This window comes from Homo sapiens, chromosome 5 (assembly GCF_000001405.40).
Source record: "Homo sapiens chromosome 5, GRCh38.p14 Primary Assembly".
Lineage (NCBI taxonomy): Eukaryota > Metazoa > Chordata > Mammalia > Primates > Hominidae > Homo > Homo sapiens.
Genome location: NC_000005.10, coordinates 96,116,660 through 96,138,432, shown reverse-complemented (window position 1 = coordinate 96,138,432; position 21,773 = coordinate 96,116,660). Strand labels below are relative to the sequence as shown.

The 21,773-nt window shown below is 35.9% G+C and overlaps 1 protein-coding gene and 1 long non-coding RNA gene across 14 annotated transcripts in view; both read right to left on the bottom strand.

Moving 5' to 3' along the window:
- Positions 1–21,773, bottom strand: part of CAST (calpastatin) — an 813,255-nt gene that overhangs the window by 636,251 nt on the left and 155,231 nt on the right. Inside the window, exon 3 of one of the 13 annotated variants that reach the window (NM_001423258.1) lies at positions 356–407. The exons of the other annotated variants lie outside the window; for them this stretch is intronic. The gene's annotated coding sequence lies outside the window, so the exon portion shown is untranslated. The remainder of the gene's footprint in view (positions 1–355; positions 408–21,773) is intronic. 13 annotated transcript variants of the gene reach the window in all.
- LOC101929710 (uncharacterized) overlaps positions 1–21,773 on the bottom strand; it is a 669,085-nt gene that overhangs the window by 492,653 nt on the left and 154,659 nt on the right. The window lies entirely within an intron of this gene.

Sequence of the window (21,773 nt, the reverse complement as noted above, 5' to 3'; positions counted from 1 at the left end):
AGAAGAAGAACAGTGTTGGAGGACTTAATATAAAGCCTTAATATAAAGCTATAGAGATCAAGACAATGTGTTATTACAAAAATAATAGACAATGCAACAGAATAGAGAGTACAGAAATAGACCTACATAAATATGATCATTTTATCTTTGAGGAAGAAGCAAAGGCAATTCAATGAAAAAAAGGATTGTCTTTTCAATAAATGGTGCTGAAACAGTTAGATAACCATATGTTAAAAGAAAAAAAAGAACCTAAATTCATACGTCATACCTTTCATAAAATTAATTCAACTGGATCCCAGACTTAAATGTAACATTCAAAATTATAACACTTCTAAAAGAAAACATAGGAAAATACCTGTGTTCTTGGGTTTAATGATGAACTTCATTTATAACACCAAAAGCACAACCTATGAAGGGAGAAATTCATAAGTTGGACTTTGTTAAAGTTAAAAATGTGTGCTCTGTGAAAGACACTGTTACGAAAATGAAAAGACAAGCCACTACTGGGAGAAAAAAAACTGCAAATATGTATTTGATAAAGGACTTAAATTCAAAATATAGAAAGAACACTTAAAAATCAACAATAGGAAAACAGACCAACTAAAAAACAGACAAAAGATCTGAACAGACACCTCACCAAAGATTATATACAGATAGCAAATAAATATATGAAAAATTGCTCAACATAATTTGTCATTAGGAAGTCACAAATTAAAACAACAAGATACCACTATATATCTACTAGAATAGTTAAAAATCTAAAAACTGATGATGCCTATTGCTAGCAAGGATGCAAAACAATATGAATTCTCATTCATTGCTGATGGGTACAACCACTTTGGAAGACATTTTGGCAGCTTTTTACAAAGGTAAATATGGTCTTACCATATGATCTGATAATTGCACTCCTAGGTATCTACCTAATTGACAATTTATGTCCATGCAAAAACCTGAGCATGAATGTTTTCAGAAGTTGTATTTATAATCAGCAAAATCTGGAAGATGGTAAGAAATCCTTCAATAAATGAATGGATAAGCAAACTGCAATATATCCATATAATGGAATATTATTGAGCAATAAAAAAATGAGCTATAAACCCATGAAAAGACATGTATTAATCTTATATACACATGGCTAAGTGAAAGATACCAGTCTGAGAAGACTTACTCTATGATTCCAATTATGTCACATTCTGTAAAAGACAAAAGTAGTGAGAAGATAAAAAGATCAGTGGTTAGGGGGCTCATACAACTGAAGCACCAGAGATATTCCAGATCATTGAAACTATCCTCTGTATTACTGAAATGGCAGATACATGAGAGTTGGTCCAAACCTTTACAGCACAAAGGGTAAACCTTAAGGTATGAAAATTTAAAAATATAATTTAGGAGCTCAAAGGATACCAGGATAGCCTGCAGAATGTGACAAAGCAGTCTAACTGTATTAAAAAATTATGAAACAACTTCACAGAAAGGAGTGGGGACAAAAAGTGCTAACCCAAATAGCTTCGGAAGTAAGTGGAATATGTAAGACTAAAGGCAAAAAAACTGTCATAAATATTGAACTCTTGTTGATAAAGTTGTTTCCCCTGCGAGTATGGGTTAACAATTCTGATATCATATATATAATGCAACAAATTAAAAAATGAATGACAGCTGAGGAAAGCCAGTTTTTCTCATTGTTGGAGGGAGATTACAGATGAGCAAGAGGAAGAGGCTAGAATTACACAGGTAGTAATAAATTAGCATTGTGGATGTTAGTATAAACTCATATTGAGCATAATATAGACAGATGGTTACATATAGAAAAATATATTCATATATGTATATATAGATACATTTCCTTGTTTTATCAGCTGAGGTGGCCTTGAGGCAATGACACTGCCACAGCAGCAGGCATATCTAGTGTCCAAATGTTAGCTTGTTTGTTTTCTAATACAGTATCCAACAAGAGGAACCAGGGCTCCTTGGAGAAGTGGCTGATTCTAGAACTGGGACAGAAAATATGCAAGTTGAGCCTGGAGTATCTTTAGTCCCAGAAAGCTAAGGAAGTGCTCAAAAACAAAACAAAACAAAACAAAACAAAAGAGGTGCAATTATGTCAAATGGGCACAGGAGACAGGAGCGAACTGAAAAAATTTCTTCTAGTTAATAAGTGGGGTGAAGGAGGAACACTAAAATAAATAACATAATATCAAATTAGAACCCAAAATATAAAATTAACATCCACTGCTCTACAGCACTTATTGACAAAAATAAGTGATTGAAGAAATACATAAATAGGGGAGAAGAGAACAAACAATCTCACTGAGAGAAGAATTACAAATAATTTACGTAGACATTGGACCCTCAAAAAGAGGTTGAGCATAACTCTCCATTCTTTAAGTGTTTGGGCTACACACAGAGTGCAGTGGTGTGATCTCGGCTCACCACAACCTCCGCCTCCCAGGTTCAAGCGATTCTCCTGCCTCAGTCTCCCGAGTAGCTGGGACTACAGGTGTGTGCCACTACGCTCAGGTAATTTTTGTATTTTTAGTAGAGATGGGGTTTCACCATGTTGGTTGGCCAGGATGGTCTCTATCTCTTGACCTCATGATCTGCCCACCTCAGCCTCCCAAAGTGCTGGGATTACAGGCATGAGCCACTATGCCTGGCCTCATATACACATTTTTAAAATAAAGAAAAAGAAAATAGGGAAAAGGCTGAGAGGGATGAATGGAGGTTGGAGGTGAGGACACAGAAGGCAGAAACACAAGACAATGGTGAGATCCTAAGCCCTTGGGAAAAAAGAGAAATCTTGGAATCTACTCTTTCCCAGGCTATAGATCTGAGATCTCAAGGTTGTCCTACCTAGATCTTAAGAGTTAGAAATCTCCAGCTAATGTTTGGTTAATATTAGTCAACATCTCATATTATTCTCCTAAGATTGTGCTAACTTCTCCCTTACCCCTTACCTAAACCACCACCATACATCCAATTACTTAAGCTAAAACCTAGGAGTCATTCTTGATTTTGCCTTTTCCATTACCTCCCATAACCAACCCATCAGCAATTCTATTTCCAAAATAAACTTTGAAACTATTTTCTTGTCTCATTCTCACTGCCACCCCTGGTCCCAGACACCATCATTTTCTTCCTGGCTGACTTTAAGATAATTCTATTTTCCCTTTACACACTCTTGCTTTGTATACTCCATCCTTTCACAGCAGAGTGATATTTTAAAGCAGTAAGTAAAATAAATTATTTGTTTAAAGTCATCCCGTGGGTTTCCATAGCTTTGAGGATTGAATGCAAACCCTTATGGTGTGGGAGGGAACCTGGCCTGTCCTGCTGTACCACCCACTCTCAATAGGCTCCCACTATGCTGCCGGCCTTCTGGTCCCTGCAAGTGCCAAGCTTTCTCCTGCCACAGGACTTGTGTTCTCGCTATTTCCTGGAAGTGTCTTTCTCCTTCTCACTCCATTTTCTCATCTTTCCTTGTCAGCTCCCATGTCCCTCCTTGTGGAGGTCTTCCCTTTATATTTTATTCAAAGTTGTCCCCACTTACCACAGGCTTTCTTTATTTCCTTCATAGCACTTGTTAAGATTTACAACTTACTTATGTGCTATTCTTCCTACTAGAGGCAGAAAACCGTGGCTCTTTCACTGCTGTATTGCCACTGCCTGGAACAATACATGGAATGTATAGTAAGCACTCCATAAATATTGACTGGGTGAGAGACTTCTTTATTTAGATGTTCTCCTGTGCCTTTAGGTACCACTGGCCTGCCACCTCTCTCTTCCTATGGCTTAGGGAAATCCACAGGGCTTGCTACCCCATATCTTGACTTTTGTGTAGCCCTTTCTTGCTTCCACACCAGACTTCCTACAAATTGACTCATGCAAACAGGCCTCAGGTGGGCTGTGGGTGGGAGCAATCCCTTGGGTCGCCCTAAAGGCCCAGGAGCAGCTGAATCCCAGTAGAGGCACAGATTGGGCTGAAGCTGAGATTCTTGATGTATTCATCATTGAAGTCTGTGCCAGTTATTCAGTAAAGCGACTTTTCACAGATGTAATATATATCTTAAAGACTTCTGAGAAAGAAAATGGAGATTGCATTGCCCTTTCTGAAATCAGTTTTAATCAAAAAGAGGTTAGAGAAACTCTATGGGGTGAAAGGCATATTCTTGTGGGTCTGCAGTTGTCACACGGTTTTGGTTTTATGTTTGTATTTTCATTTTAATAGTTCTGTAAACAAAAAATTCACATGAGCACATTTGGGGTAACCTGGAAAACTGTAACAGAGCACTGTAGCGGCCTTTTCAGTCCTTTACAGGCATTTGTGATTAATTGTTACCAACTAAAGGCCAAATGGTGTTAGTTCCCTCACTGTAGAAACGGAGGTTTTACGGTGGTTTAAACAGAGTTGTGTTCCTCAACGTTTGTTGCCAAATATGTGTGCCCACATCACTTGTTTGGGGTAAAACCTCTCACAGAACCTTGACTTTCACTGTTAATCTTAGGAGTCTGAGGGCTTCAGTAGCAGCCCACAGGGGCCTCTCCAAAAACACAGTGGGGAAGTTGAGTGAGCAGAACTTGACCTTTCGTAGCCCTTGTTCCTGTTCTCCAAACCCTGGCTTCTCGTCTTCACCAATGCAGCCCCCCTTTTCTATTTTGTACATCAGTCTTTGTGTAACCAGCCTGTTGATCAAAGTGCATTGTAAAACAAGTTTATAAACACTTGCCTAGACCATTGCAGTTCCAGGTAAGAATTTAAAATATTACAAAAATTTGTAATGAAGATTTTATTATAGCCTTATTCAGAAGGAAAATATGGGAAACTGGCTCAAACTCAGAACCATAAGCACAAGTAAATTTCCATTTAAAGCAAAATGAAACACATTTCAGTTATACCACTTAAAGTATTGGAATGGGATACTTCACCCCTCTCATGTCGTAAAGAATGTTACAGAAAACCTCAGGGTGTCACAGTGAATCAGGGGTAGAGCCAAGACTAGAACCTAAGGTTTCTCACTTTTGTTCCAGCACTCCTTCCATTATTCTGCCTTGTCCCCACATCCTTTTTCTCTCAAAATTACCTCATTGAGGGAGGCTTAACATTTCTAGGAAAACTCATGTGTGTGTGTGTTTTTTTTTTTTCTCAAAGCGTTTTGAGGGGTCTATGACCAGAACCAAAAGTGGTCTTTAAGCCAGAGTGGATACATTTGCTAATCTCTTAATGTTAACTTTTGTTTTGTCTGGTCACAGCATATTATTCTTTTCTACTTTATTCTTTTGCTTCAGCAAATGCCTTGAGTGTAAGTAAGACTTTTAAAACACTTTCTGTTTCTTCCTGACATCTTTGGAGTTAAGATGTACCCTTCATGTGACAGACTTGGTTACAAAAGAAAGCACTGTAATTTTGCCACTTCTGAGGCCTGACTCTTGCCTGTCATCTTAATATTTCTGAAGCTCTAATCTGAAATACACTGATATCCTTATCTGGCATGTGGATTCCTTTGTATCTGTTCCTTTTAGCATCTTGTCTTATATTCATATGTCTAGAGAACTTACTATAAAGTCCAGTGGATATGCTTCAAGATTGCTCATAAAACTCTCATTCTATAGGTTTACTACAGCTGGGACATATTTTCCTTCAATTTGCAAGACTGTGTTAACCAGGTTGGCTATAAATATTTATATAATTTTCCTTCTGTCTGTTCTCTCAGTCCATGAAGACTCAAGAAGGTCTGCCTTTCTATATCCATAGTCTTTCAAATTAAAGATGAGCCATTCCTTATCACACATTGTCACTCATATGTGGGAGCCAAAACAGATCTCATAGAGGTAGAGAGTAGAATTGTGGTTATTAGAGGTTGGGAAAAATGGGGGGCGAGAATGAAGAGAGGTTGTTTAGTGGGTACAAAAGTACAGTTAGATAGAAGGAATAAGCTGGAGTGTTTGATAGCACAGTAAGGTGACTATAGTTATCAGTAATTTATTGTATTTTTAAAAATACCTAGAAGAAAAGATTTGAAATATTCTCAACACAAAGAAATAAATATTTGAGGTGATAGATACCTCAATTACCCTAATTTGATCATTATGCATTGTACAAATGTATCAAAATATCACATATACCCCATAAATACATGCCATTGCTATGTATCAATAAAATTTTTTAAAAGAAAAAATGGCTATTTCCCTAGTGCAGGCTTTCAACATTATCTTTTGCAACTTTACTTTTAATTGCTTCCCTCTTTCCCTCCCTCCCTTCTGTCAAAACATACTCATTGACACTGCTTCTGTTAAACAGTGTTTGATTATAAGTATAGCCATACATTTAAGATTGGATTGAGTAGCTTCAGATACTATGTTTCCTTTGTGTGGCTGAATAAAGCTTTGACTATGTTGTGTGTAGAAGAAATTGAACAGTTTTGAAATGTTCTACTACATTTTCCATTTTCTGGCTTTTGCTTTCTAGACTTATCCAGTTGGGTTTGTGTCTTTTCAATGTACCCTGCTACTCTTGCTGATTGAACTGGTTTCAGACATGTCCCATGGCTGCCAACATCACCTGAATCGAATTTCTTGTTTTGGGTCCTCCCTGTGTATGATTTGATACTTATGTTTGTGGGACTTCATTTTATTTTCTAAAATGCTATTTTTCTGAATTATCAAAAGTTGGTGTGAACTCTTCCCAACTTCTAGGAAGTTAGCAGTCTCACCTATATGAGAGCAAATACAGACTTCCTGGGCTCATTGCTCTCATGTAGGTCGCTGATAAAAATAAATACCTTGGTGCTTTTTCTCTTAATGTAAAAAGTAGGTTACGGTGATCCCAAGGAGAATATCTTCTCATTTTACTGTGTTACAGAAATGCTGCTAGGCAGCAATCATGTAAGTCAATTGCTGCAGCTCTGCCATTTATTTTTCCTGAACATCCCACAGCTAAATGTAACATACGGCAATCATGCTTGAGGTTTTATTTTATTTTATTTTAGTATGTATGTGTGTGTGTGTGTGTGTGTGTGTATAATAACAAGATATTAAATTTACAGCTGCATTCCATTCTCCTGTGATAACTGATGTTAACAGCCAGTTGTGCAGGCTTCCAAAAATATTTAAACTTAGAGGCACATAGAAAGGGTTTTAAAAATACTATCACACTGTACATATTACTCTACAATTTTCTTTCATCACTTAAAATAACTTCATAGCATCTCTCTAGGTTAATAGACATATACTCTTTTTAGTAACTGCATGATATTTTACAGTCTATATATACCATAATTTATTTAACCATTACCCTATTGATGGCCATTAAGTTTGTTTCTATTTTTCACCACTGAAAATGTTGTTTTACAACATTACAATGTAACAATGCATATGTATTTTCATTGTGCTGCTTTTATTGCTGTAGGATAGATTGGGAAACTACAATTGCTAGATAAAGGTGTATGTATGTTTCTTATTGTGATAGATATTATTCATACTTTGTAAAAGGTCATAGCAATCACACTTCACTCAACGATGTAGGAGATTGTCCATTTTTCTGCATGCTTGTAAGCAATGGATATTTTTACTCTTTTAATTGTAGGCTAAACTGATGGTTATAAAAGAGTATCATGTTTTAATTTTTATTAGATAAGGTCAGTATCTTCTTTTGGTTTGTTGGTTAAATTTTATGGTCATTTGGATTTTCTCTCTTGTAGATATCCTGTTAAATAGCCTTTCCCTCTCTTTGAGTTGTTTTTCTCTTTTCGATTTGTAATATTTTATATTTTAGAATTAGTAATCTTTTATGTGCAATTTTAAAAAATAAACATGTAATTTTAACACAGCTTTAGATTTGCAGAACAATACCCTCCATACAGTTTCTCCTATTTTTAACATCTCATATTAATATGGTATACTTGTCACAATTAATGAACCAGTATGATACTTTATTGTTAATTAAAGTCCATATTTTATTCAGATAATATCCTTAGGTTTTTTTTTTTTCCTAATGTCCTTTTTCTGTTCCTGAGTACCATCCAGGAGACCATGTTACATCTTCTGTGTCTTTAGGCTCCTTTGTGCTGTGACAATTTCTCAGACTTTCTTTGTTTTTTGATGGCCTTGACAGTTTTGAGGAGGACTAATCAGGTATTTTGTAGAATATCCGTAAATTGGGATTTGTCTGATTTTTTTCACATATTGGACTGGGGTTATGGGAAGTGCTATTTTAATTGTATCAAATTGAAGATACATTCTATCAACATGACTTAGCATTGTTGGTGATGATCTTAATCACTTGGCTGAGGTAGTGTTTGTTATGTTTCTCCATTGTAAGTTACTCTTCCCCACTAACCCTTTTTTCACAGGTACTCTGGAAGAAAGTTGCAGCCCAGGGGACAGCAAGACTCCGTCTCAAAAAAAAAAAAAAAAAAGTGTGTGTGTTTTCTTACCTGGTGCATTTATTCATATGGAATTGTATGTAATCTCACATAGTTGGCATACCGATTTCAACAAAGTACAATTAGTTATAAGGGATGCCTCAAAATACCACACTCTGGGTAAAAAAACAAAGGTAATCAAGGCAATGCTATTATAATTAATACTTTTTAGAAATAGCTTCATAGTATTTGAAATCATAAACTTTTCTACTTGTCAAAGTTTTGTTCCATTTTCTAAATGATTTCATGTTTTTATTAGAGTCCTTTTCACCAAAGTCATATTGTTCTTAATATGTATAATATAGAAAAATATCTCTGATGTCATTTTAAGCCTAAATTATTTTTAAATGGATCGGGAAATAGTAGTGAATACTTTATTTCATGCATCACTGTGCCACTGATGATCACTCTTATGTCAAAAGTGAACAATTTCCTCATATTACTGAACAATTTCTTCTCAATAAAGCAGTGATTCATGACAGTTCCTGATGAGAAGTGTCTGTCCTATTGTAATTCCTTCTTCATTTACCTGGTGCAGCATCAGCCAAAGGCCCAGGAACCAGAGAATCTGAGCTTCCTGTGACAGACTTCCAGGACAAGACTTCCTCTTGTTGAAGCTTGCCTCTCTCACCCACCAGGTTCATGAAACAAATCCACTCAAGCCTAGCCTTCTCTGAATTGTTATCCACCCACTTTAATAAAGATCTGGGGGCTCAGCCAGACCATAACCAGATTCATATTCTATTTACAATCTGTATACATTTTAAATGAAAGCATATAAAACTGTCTTGGGGGATATTAAGAATGAATATGCACAGTATATCTGGTCTAGATTGCATCTGACTTTTAACAAAAATATTTAACATACACCTGTAATAGGCCAGAAATTCTATTTGCTAAGGATAGAGAAGAGTGCAAAATGGACATGGTCTCTATTGCTAGGTAGCTCAGTCTTAAGGTCTTTGATTTATCATTTCAGCTGCAAGAGAAAACAACATACTTGACTTAGCCTGGGTCTCCTGTAAGCCTTTTAAAAAATAAATAAAAGATAATGAAAGGTCTAACTGAAGCTCAATCACTGGCCCTACTTTCACAGCTTTTCAAGTGAAGTCTCATATTAAATGAAATAATCCATCTTAAGATGTCCTGTACATGACCTTGTGCAATGTAGGCCCTGAGGAAGCAGTATCCATCCCACCCATTTTTGGGGGATCCATTTAAACCAAGTTCTACTGTCCTTCTGAACTGGGGTTCTGCAAGATAATTAAGCTCTAATGTCCAGAGGCATCAGTTAATGGAGTGAATTAATTTCACTTCTATGCATCCAGAAGGGTACTACCTATGTACCACTCTCAGGAGACAAGAAAACAACTACTGAAGTCGTTTTCAGTAGTGCTTGCTTCTCTCATGCGAACCTCAGCTGAAGTTGAGAAAGGTTGGAGGATAGTGTCGCTTTCACCTTCTGTTTTAAAAAGCAAGGTTAAATTGAGGGGAAAATCTAATTTGGTAAAGGCACAGACCCTAGAACAACAATAAAAAATAAACCAGGAGCCAAAAGGTCTCTAGAGAACTAAGGAAGCAAAGAGAAAAGTTAGACTCACTGAAGGTGAGTGCTCTAAGCAAAACCTAACTGTGCAGAGTCCAGGGCCGAGGAAACATCAATCAGACTAAAATCAAATACTGTGTAGTTAAAACCAAAATAAACGCTCCCGTTCACAAAAAGAGACAGACCAGAAAAGTTTAGAAAATATTATGCTTCTGTGTATTCCTCAGGGGGCTTCAAAACATTTGATAAACCTGCTAAATGCTCAAATACCCTGCAATATTCTAATTACACGAAGGGAACAGGGCATGCCACTAAAAATCTCAAGACTGAGAAGTTATCCAGATGAGAAAGGTTTATGTCAGAAGTTAATTTGAAATTCCAAAAAGTGCTTAAAATAATTTATTTTAATTACTCAGTGTCTCTTTCCCAGACAGGAAATTACCTAACTCAAGGACATAGAAACTCATCATGACCTTATTCAAAGCTGACAAAGACACAACAAAAATTAATCTGTAGAGCTTCAGTGATACTGAAGTTAACATGTAAATGCCTACATCCATATAGTTCAGTCGCATGAGGCACACATGCAATAATTCATAATACCATATAATTCATATCATTACCAACAGGGTTTATCACAAATCGACTTTAAGCAAGTGATATAAAAATTAGATTTATATTTAATGCACTATTGTAAGTTGCACCAATTGCCAGTGTTAACACTGGCAGCATTTGATGCCAAAAAAGCTTTTAAATGCTTGGAAGGAGAATGCTTTCCAAAACTGTTAGGAAAAAAATTTTTAAAGGAAATTGGGAACAAAAAAAGAGAGAAGAAACATTTTTTTCTCTTGTAATTTAATATTCTGTAGAAAGACCATAAAGCATACTCTAAAGAAAATATATTTGGACTTCTCAATCAAGGACAGATGAAAACAAACTGCTCTTCCCTCCTCTCTCCTTCACAATTCATCAGTACAACTAGGAGGTGTGGCTGGGTGAAGTACTCAGCTTTCAGACACAGCAAGTGGTAACACTTGAGGATATTAGCTCATTTTCAGATGAATTTACATTTCATTTTTAAAATGAACACCACCTGTCTGAATTATCAGGTAGATTTTTAAAATGAAATAAAATACAGTGAACAACAATAACAATGAAAGTTTATCCCTAAGAGTATCTTTCTTCACACAACCAATTACTGAATTTCACAATTTCACAAAAATTGTAATTTGTAATGATGCATCTAATAATCTCCTCTGGCCACACTCTACCATTTAAAATAAATTCAGGTAAAATTATCAGAGGTGATTGCAAATAAAGCTATATATTACGCTCACCTTGATCTGTAACTTGACTTTTGATAATAATGCTAAGTTATTCCAACATATTTTAAAGTCCTTGGACATTGAGCTGTTCAAATACCATTGCCAACGAAGATTTGGATCGCCCACATACTTATGCCCCTAACATACAAAAGTCATAAGTCAATAAGCCTTCAAAACATGGAGGACCTATTTACTTCATCCTTTTTCAAGTAATTAGAAATGGTAGAGGCTAGAGCCCAAGTTCTGGGTCCCATTGAATTCAAAATATGACTTTCTAATTTCTAAGGTCATAATTTTGTGATCTTAACCTTTTTATACCTTAATTTTCTCACCTAAAAAGGAAAATAATATCTTCTGCATAACGCTATTATAGAGATTAAAAAAGATGATTTATACAGTGTTTTGTACACAGTGTTTTTGTACAGTTTGTGGTACATGGAGATAAACAAATAACTATAATTATTGTGAAGAAATTATGGATTTTAGGATGCCCTAGTTTGAATACTTACAAATACAACAGCTACCTTGGTTTTAGGAACTATTTAAGATAGCTTACAAAGATATTTAAAATATAAAGTCACTAAGTCAAAATGTAAACACTAAAAAGAAAAAGGGAAAAAAAAGATGAGGTTTTAAAAAAGGCAAAATATCAGAAAAGATGAGCTTTATCAGTTATATATAGTATGAGTCCTAAGATGGAACAATGACTTAGGAAAATAAATCAATAATCAACTGATACTAAAGCAAGATAGAAATTTTTCCCAAGAGTTATTCAAAAGAGGACAACGAATGGAACAAAAACATCAACAATACCCTTATAAAAGATAAATTTCACAATCTATTTCTCAGTATAGCTTCCCCACAAATTGCAGCTATACATTTTTTTTCAGAAGTCCCATACGGAGCAACCACAAGCACTTTTTGAGTTTGAGAAATTATTAATATAACAGACTTTGTGCTGAGTTTGCAAAGGAATTCCCAAAGGAACCTTTCCTTCATGGAGCAAAAATCTATAATTGTTACCCTATCAAACAAGCACACACACTCTGTACTGATTCTTCTAAAAGAGGGTCTTCATGGAGAAAGGAGAAAGCAGGTAATTTTTGAATGAATAAAGAACATTTCTGCAAAGAAAGCAAGAATCATACCAGAGATCATAACTGTAAGTACTCTGTAGAATTTAAGCTTTAACACCTCCTCATGCTTGTTAAAGTCTGTTTTCTCCTAGTAAGCAATGTCAAAACCCTGAAAATGAAAGGGACAACAAATTAGAAAGACTGCATTCCACACCACTGCCGGTTTGGAAAGGAAGAAAGGGAAGAGAGGGGAAGTCTGTGGGAGCAGACTGAAGTAGTCCCTGTGCCAGATATGTCCTGGAAAAGTTGAGCAGATGGCTAAAAAAAGATACAGAAATACCTCATAGAAAAGGAAGAATGATAATATCTGACTGTTATTGAGCGCTGAGCACTTTAAGCTGAGTGTACCATTTTAAGTTTACAACAACCTTACGAGGATAGTACTATAATTATATCCTTTATGCAAATAGGAAAACAAACACAAAAATGTTAAATCATTTACTAGCATTTCCACAGGGCTTGCAAATACTAGAGCCAGGATTCAAAGTCAGGCAGGCAAACTCCAAAGCCCTTTGACATTGCTGCACATTAGATGAAAAATCCACTTGCACATCTGATCCAATGCCTCACTATCCGAGTTAGCTTTGAACTTTAAAGAGCTAACCTTTAGATGCCTGCTCCATCACTGAGAAAAATTATTGAGGTCACTGTAGATAAGAAGTTACAGTTATTCATATCTACCCATGAAATATGACATTTACGGAGTTCTTAATCACTGGGCTAGCAACCCAACAGTCACTCTTTAAATTTACAGGGACTTTAGACACCATTTAAAATGTTAAGCAAAAACCTATCACCAACTTAAGGAATACATCCCATGACTGCTTTGCTCTCAAAGGCTGCAGAATCTTTCTAAATAACAGGCTTAGAATAATCTACATAGAATCAGAGTCTCATTTGGTAAGGTATGGGCAGTTACGATATACATAAACTGTTCTTGTGGGTTAAGATATCTTTGCCCCAACCAAGTGGTAAAATTTTGTTCTAAGAATCGGGCTACTCTTTTAAAAATTTAATCAAGGGAGAAAAGAAGATAACCACAGAAGGCTAGTCTTTAAAGTCTACTGCTGTCCTATTCAAATATCAAAAGACAGGGTAAACAAGGTGGACATAAAATGGTACTGAGATAACTTTCTCATTATCTTCAACACAAATTATTGTGCAATAGTTGCTATAACCCTCAGTTCTGTAAAAAAATTTCATTGTTTTGTTACCACTCTTACTAACTTATCTAACATTTATATGAGAACAATGTTTAAAGTGTTGGTCATCACTATTAAGAAATACAGGTACAGACTACTATCAATTTGCTTATTAAGTAAATAACTATGTAAGAAGCTCATCCTATGACTATAACAGGCACATCCTACAGGATAGGAATTAACGAAAGGAAAATGGAACAAAGTAAGGTCCCTGTCCATAAAGGGTTGATACATTAAGATGAAAAAAATTGGAAGTTATAATGAATTACAAGTAAATCTGAGTCAACCATATAGTTGGATGTGTTTCAAGATTTTTAAAATCACAGAGTTTAAAAAGAAGAATAAAAATGCTTGAAATTTTTAGGTTAGATCATTTAGAGAAAAATAAGCATAATAGAATTCAACTGTCTTAATAAAAGTTTCTGAGGGCATTAATAAACTCTGTCTTAGAGTTGGGCATGGTGGCATGGACCTGCAGTCTCAGCTATTCAGGAGGCTGAGGCAGGAGGATTCCTTGAGCCCAGGAGTTTGGGGCTGCAGTGTACCATGATCTCACCTACAGATAGCCGCTGTGCTCCAGCCTGTGCAACATAGCCAGACCCCATCACTGAAAGAAGATAAAATAAAACAAACAAAAAGCCAAGCTCTATCTCTGCAATAAAATTTAGGAAATGAAAGTTTGATCTGAGCAAACATAAGGACAGCCTTAATGATTGGGATGATTAAATTTTGGTGAAAAAACAGGACTTTTCCAGATCTAAAATCTGAAACATCAGTCAATTAAATATTGACCATCTTTTTGACAGAACCAACTGCAAAAATTGTGTATGGAAACAAGAGGTAACTGAATAGAACCTCAGGCCTTGTGACGCTAAAAAGAGAATGAGAAAGACCATAAGATAGGCAAAGCAGGGGGAAAAAAAATCTAAGCAATTTTAAGGAACGATAGGCCATTTCTTTCTAATATGTTTGCAGACCTTAAATAAGTGTTTTAATGTAAAGTTTTTCATTTAAAATCAGTTCTCAATTCTCCCACTCGGGAGTTGAACCATAGGTGCATTAGTATAATTGAGAAGGCATTTCCATCTTGTTGAATTTACTGTTAAAACTATTTTGCAATGTGGGTACATACCAACCTTCAGTTGTACCCAGTAAAAAGCCAAACTTGGAATGAACCAGCAACTGTTTTGCTAATCTATCAAGCAAACAATCCTCAAGTAGATAGCCCTGAGTTGACTTTTCCATCAGGCCAACCTTCAATTTTGAAAATAGCTACTTAAAATAAAGCCTTAAAATGCATGCCAATAATGTAAAGGTGTCAGAGCTTTATTTCTGAGTTCCACATCATGATTTTGTTTTAACCCTGTCAATCAACAAGCCTTCAGGAAGACAATTTTTTATTAGACATTAATAATGTGTTCATTATGCCCACCACATGGTTAGTAAAAAATGGAGAACTGGCCTAGGTGTCCAAGTAAATAATGATGAAAAATGATCACTTAAACTTTTGGTTTCCATACCTCCTAATTTCACAGAGATGTGGTAAGAACATGATAAAATAATGGATATGAGTGTTTCTCTTAAAGTCATTCAAATTCAAGAAACTATTATTATAAGCCTAATACGTGTATCCTAAGACCCTCTCAATGGCATAATAATGAGAATAGAACATATCAAAGAGACCATTGATGCATTTCTATAGGTCAAAAAACTAGATCACAATAAAACAACAACAACCATCCCATTAGTTCAGTTAATTCACATTAAGCATGTATAGAATGCCTACTACATCCTGAACATTGTGGAGATATTTCTTGTGCTCTGGGTATAGAAAAATTAATAAGAATGGTACTCAATATTTGGAGCTTACAGTTGTTCCACTGACTATAAATGCATATTATCTGATAAATAATGAAAATGATCACACTGTATGAGCTGGACAGTTACTTTATTTGACCTCATAAAGCAGACATAAAATAAAAACACAAAACTGATGCTGCCATCTGAATATCCATTAAACATCCACATAACAAATTTCACTTCTATAAATATATCAGCTTGAAAAAAACAAAAAGCAAACCCAAAACAAAACAGTAAACTCTTGCTTTCAGTTTTTAGATAATTATCTTATTTCTTCAACTGATATGTGCACATGAAGTTTGAGAATAAACTTTCTACCCCCTCGAACACATGGATGCAAGAGAACCACCTCCAGCCCGAACTGGTTATGATTTGAATAGCAGGTCTCAAACAAGTTCGACTTTACCTTAACTGGAATTTATCTAACTCAAATATTGCCAGTGCCATTTACTATTTTTATTGAATAGAAAAAAGGCTCAAAATCAATTTGGACTATACTCTTGGGGGTTGGGAATTCACAAATCCAAGGAAGGAACTTTTGGTTCCAGAGTTGAGTTATAAAGGAAAAAAAGTATCTCAGCATTTCAAAACTTGCTCAGAAAGGAAAAGTTATCTTTGCATTATAAAGAAGTTCAACACAAGAAGTATTCTCTCAAGTGTACAGCAAAATTTTTACTCTACTTCTGATAGGAAGAACACAAATGCATGTTTGAAGCTAAAAAGGGTAGTTTCTCAAAACTTGTATTTTTTGCCTTTGTGATTTTTTTCCTAACTAAATTGAAACTGACCAATGAGATTTTGAAAGAACTCCATTGTTCAACAGTATCCTATAATCATAGAAGTAGTTCTCACTAATCGCTGAAATAGCTTAAATAATTAGAAATTACAATCAATACCACTTGAAGCCCTGCCAACCTAAAAGACACAATTTTGCAGTGGAAAAAGAAAATTAGAATGCTTAATTGCAGAAGGAAGAAAAGATATTCTTACTGAAAGAATGAACTAAATTTGGATTAAAATTATATTTGTTTTTTTGTCACAATACCACAATCATTTGTTTCAATCAAGAGCAGGGGTGGGCAGGGGGTGGGTGGAGAAAAGGAGAGAGGGATCAAAGCACCTTGCTTAGTAATAGTCCCTTCCTATGTCTCTTTCCATCCCAGGAGTGTCCCTAGGAACACTGCATTGCCAGCCCATTTCTCACTGACCCAGCAAGCACACACAAATTTTCCTATCCTGGGAATCTTTGCCTCTAAGAGAACTAATAACATGATCCCATTGCACTTACACTTCAATTGAACTTGCAAATGAAATTTGCAGACTAGGATGATCAATTGTATTTCTTGGCTTGATTCAACTTCAGAGCCTCACCGCCAAAACGCTGACTGTGTAAACTCACTGAAACTAATCTGAGCCTTTCTTTAAGCAAGTTCTATCCTGATCAGGTTGCTTTTTTTTTTTTTCATCAAAATGAATGCAAGCTCAAATACTGGGTGGAGTTAGCCCCTATGATTATTACAAAACACTTATCAACCAGAGTGAAACTATGAAAGGATTAGATCCTGAAGACTGTCCTATTTAATAGTCCTAGCAGCCAGGGACAACAACAAAAACAAAATTTATTATGTGCCTATTCTGTGCCATACACTGTGCTTAATCTTAAGAATATAAGTCAAATAAAACAAAAGGGCTCCCCCAAAGCCACATCATTTATTCAACAAATTAATGTGCCAAGCACTATTTTATATGCTGGGGCTAACAGCAGTGAACACTACGCCCTTTTGAAGCTTACATTCCAGTGGGCATAAACAGGCACTCTTTTAAAAATCAATAAGAAAGTCATGTGGTATTTTAGATGGTGATAAAAGTCTATAAAATAAAATTTAAAATAAGCTGGGAAATGGGTAGATAATGCCTATAGTGGGAGAGTCTTGACTTTTTAAACAAGGTGGCTAGGAAAGGTCTCACCAAGTACGTGGTATTGAAACACGAGTGAATATCACCTTTGATATGAAGGTGGAGGTGAGAGAGTAAGCCAAAATGGCTATCTGGAGAAAAAGTAATTGAGGCACAGGGAAAAGCCAGTGAAAATGGCTTAGGGCAGGATTATGCCTGGCCAGGAGGACCAGCAAGAAGATCGGTATAGCAAGGAAGGAGAAAGAGATAAGGTCACAAAAGTTTATATATATATATGTATGTATATTATTATATATATGTATATTATATACATATAATAATGCTTGGCACATTAATATATATTATTTATATGTATATATTATATATGTATATTATATATATACATATGCTTTGATCAGTGAGGAGGCTATTACGGTATTCCAGGCAAGAGATGATGGGGAAGGGACAAGGGTGATAGCAGGGCACAGGGTCAGAGCCTGAACATATAAGTTAGAGCTCTCTGATTATATGCAACAGAGAACCATTATACCAAAAGAAAAAAAAGCTCACAGAATATTGGTGAATCTCATGAAATTGACAGGGAATATAGAAAACCAGACTTGCAAACAGGATAGGAGCAAGGCCAGGGATTACTTACAGGGCAATATCTCTGGAATGCATGAGCTCCAACTGTTGCTTCCGGCTTTGCACCATTCCACTCAAGATTCAATTAACCAGGAAAATCCAACTTTCCAAGCTTAGGTCACATGCCCATTTCTTGGCTCATACCCAACAGTAGAAGGTGAGAATCAAGGGCTTCTCTAGCAGGAGCCCAAGGCAGTTTTATTCATTAGCCCCAGTTCCTCAGGACTGCCCTCAGTGGGAGAGAGATAACACCCCAAAAGGAAACCTGGATGCTAATAGGAAGGAAGACTGAATGCTAAGAAGCCTAGACTAGGAAGCTATTTATGTCCATTAGATACTATTTGCTATCTAGTGGATAAAGGCAGAATTATAAGTGAAAGATATCTCGGAATAAAACGTGTTTCACAAATTGACACATACTTTTCAGTAAAAAGATACTGGTGATGTCCAGCTGTCATTTTACCCTCTCTAGATAAAAACATAATCCTGGTTCTTACCAGACTGCCGTGGAGATTATTTTGCTGCTGAGCGGTCACACAAAGTTTTTGCTTGAAAGGCCTTAAATCTCTAGATATGCCATTTTGAAAAATATTTAATTTGCTTTTTAGGCGTACATAATACATAACACATATCTACTACACCTTCCTCTCAGAAGAATCAAAGGAAGTATATTTTAACTGGTTCATAGATGAATAACCTTGTGACATTCTGACTATAAACAGCTGAATAAAGGTTCAAATATGTCATCTTAAATCATTCTTTTCACTTTCTTTAGATAGTTTCTTTCCTTTGAACAGAAAATATATATGTGAAAACATAATAGTCACTCATTCTTTTAGTAACAGATTATGCAAACCCTCCAGCTTATATCTCCAGGGTACAAGCTGGTGATATGAGCCCCAGACCTTCCAAACAAGCAGCTGCTGCTCTGATCTAGTCAATTTTGCCACTTAGGAATGCACATCTAGAGATCCCAGGTCTTCCCATTTTTTAAAAGAAGCTGGGATTCCAGATTTTTTTAATGTGAAACCTCTAGATTTTAAATGCTGGAAACTTTGGGGTTTGGGTTGTTTTTGTTTTTACTTCTGTTTTAATTTTTGAACACCATGCTGAAAACTTTTAAAAATTTTTTTCAACTCTATATAGGTCAAATAAAACACCTAAGTGTGACCTCTCTGGTCTCCATTCCAAATACCTTCAAGGTGTGATCAGACCTCAATAGAGATCCCTTGACTTCTTTTGTCTATTTCCAATAATAACAACACAATCCTTTTTTCCCCTCATGGGAACCAGATTAAGTCTATGGCAAAGACATGTGATTCTCTGATAATTCCCATTATAGTCCAACTGCAAGCACAAAATGATGCATGCATTTAGAGCAATTTAAAAACGACATTTTCCAATGAAGATACGGAAGTACCCTGGCTTGCTGCTCTCTGTATAATGTCCAGTACCACAAAGGGAGTGTGGTGAAACTAGTTAGGGTGAGACTGCCCTGCTGATTGGAGTAGCCCATGAGAAACACATGAACTTAGCTAAAAGAGTCACTTAAGCAATGAAGTAACTGACGCTAAGAAAAAAAAAAAAAGTATGCTGAAACAGTACCTCAGGGGAAAAAGCCACAATTAGAAAGAAGGCTCTTGTTAATTTCCCCAGCCCCAACCTTCTTCCTCAGCCCACCTTCCTAGTTCTTTTAGATGGATTGGCTTCTTTAAGTCAACTGAGCACCATGAACACCAGTCCACGAACACAATGGACCAAAAAAAAAAAAAAAAGCAAATTTCCAAATGCAGTTGAGAAGAAATTTTTATGGAATGTGCTCAGAGAATTGGTTAGTCAGTAGACATTTATGTAAATATTTTTAAGGTATTTATAAGTGACCTAATCCAGACAACAAGGCTTCCTTTTGCATTTTTTGCTCAGCACAGTGGAAGCTTTATTCACAAACTCTACGTGAAAGAAACATATTTTTCCATCCCATGGCTAAGTATCTGTAGAATCATTTCCTTTCTACAATGCAAACTTGGCCCATGGCTTATCCACTTACTCAGGTGAATGGCAAACCACAATTGGGAGAGGGAACAATGGGGCACTGCCCTGAGAAAGTGCTTTTTGCCTACTCAAAGCATTCACAAACATTAACCAATTAACTGGTAGGTGAAGTTGGCCTTAAAAAAAAAAAGAGAGAGAAAACTACAGCTGAAGAGATTTCAAAGCTTTCTCTACAAAGGGATTCAGTGTCTAAGTCTGAATTGGAACTTGGACCTTCCAAACATTAGCAGTTCAGAGATTCAACTCATGTAAACATTTGAAAGGTCAGCTGTTCATCAAATACTTTTCCAACTACAGCAAACGTATCCTTATTAAGTTTCTTTTGCAAAAGTTCCAAGGTGCTGAACACTCATCCATTGCCACCAATAATTAACAATTCCAAACAACCTAAAGACAGAGAACTTTTTGTAGGCATTTTGAAATTTCAGACTATCTTAGAAACAGGGGATGTGGAAGTGGTAACGGGCAAAAGGCATGCTAGGAAAAAGAACATCAGGCTGAATTTTTTTCCCAAGATTGGTTCTTCCCTTTTTCAAACAGATTTGCAGAAATAAGAAAATAGTTTGTCCTTTTCAAATAAAGAGTTGGTGCTTCCTGGAAATGGGCAGAGAAGTAAAAACTAAGCAAAACAATATCGTTTGGTCTAATATTTAAGACTTAACAAAACTTGGAGGCATAAATGGGCACTACAGTCATTCCTTATTCTATCCAGTTAACTTTGCTTCAAACATATCTGCCCAGAGTTTAATGACTTTAAAAAATTACCTGAAGTTCATATCTACCATAAGTTATTTCCCACACGTTCTTTCTGCACATCTGACACGCGGAAAAAATCACAAGCCTAATTTAAACAATACCATTTATTGTCGAACTTGAGAACTGAACAGCTACCAGCTTTAAAAGGTTTCCCTGAGTCTCACACACACACACTATTTTATACTAGTTTCTACACGGACATGGTTAACGTGACAGGGTTATGTGATGAGCTATGTGGTACATCACCAAGAAGAGAGGACTCTTGTGAAAGCAGGGTTTAAATCTCTATGTCGGATTCAAAATTAATTTGAAATAAATGGTAGACCTAAATATAAGAAACTATTAAACTTCTAGAATAAAATCTCTGTGACATTGGGTTAGGCAAAAATTTCTTAAGCAAGACACAATTAGCACAATAAAGAAAAAAAAATAGGTAAAATGAAGTTAATCAAAATTTAACATTTTTGCTCTCTAAAGACACAAGTAAGGAAATGAAGCCATTGGAAAGCAGCAGCCAGGGCTGCTCACCTCCAAGGCGGAGATCCTTAACAAAGGCTTCAGGGTGACCAAGACATGAGCAAGCCAGGGTACAGCCACTACTGCCACCCCGCCAAGCATACAAAGTTCAAGTTGCCATGTGGAAAGTAGTCAAGAAGGAATGAGCCTTCTATGCATAATAAAACCCCATAATTTAAAAATAAAATAAAAATGCAAGCCACAAACTCTGAGAAAATATTTGCAAACCATATATTTGACAAAGAGCTTGAATCCAGAATACTTTTAAAAATACATACAACTCAGTAGAAAGAAGATACACTACCCAATTTTTTAAAAAAGTAAGCTAAAGATTTGCACAATGGCATGCAAATGAACAATATGCAAATGATGATATGCAAATAAACAATAAGCCTAAGAAAGATGCTCAATGTCATTACTCA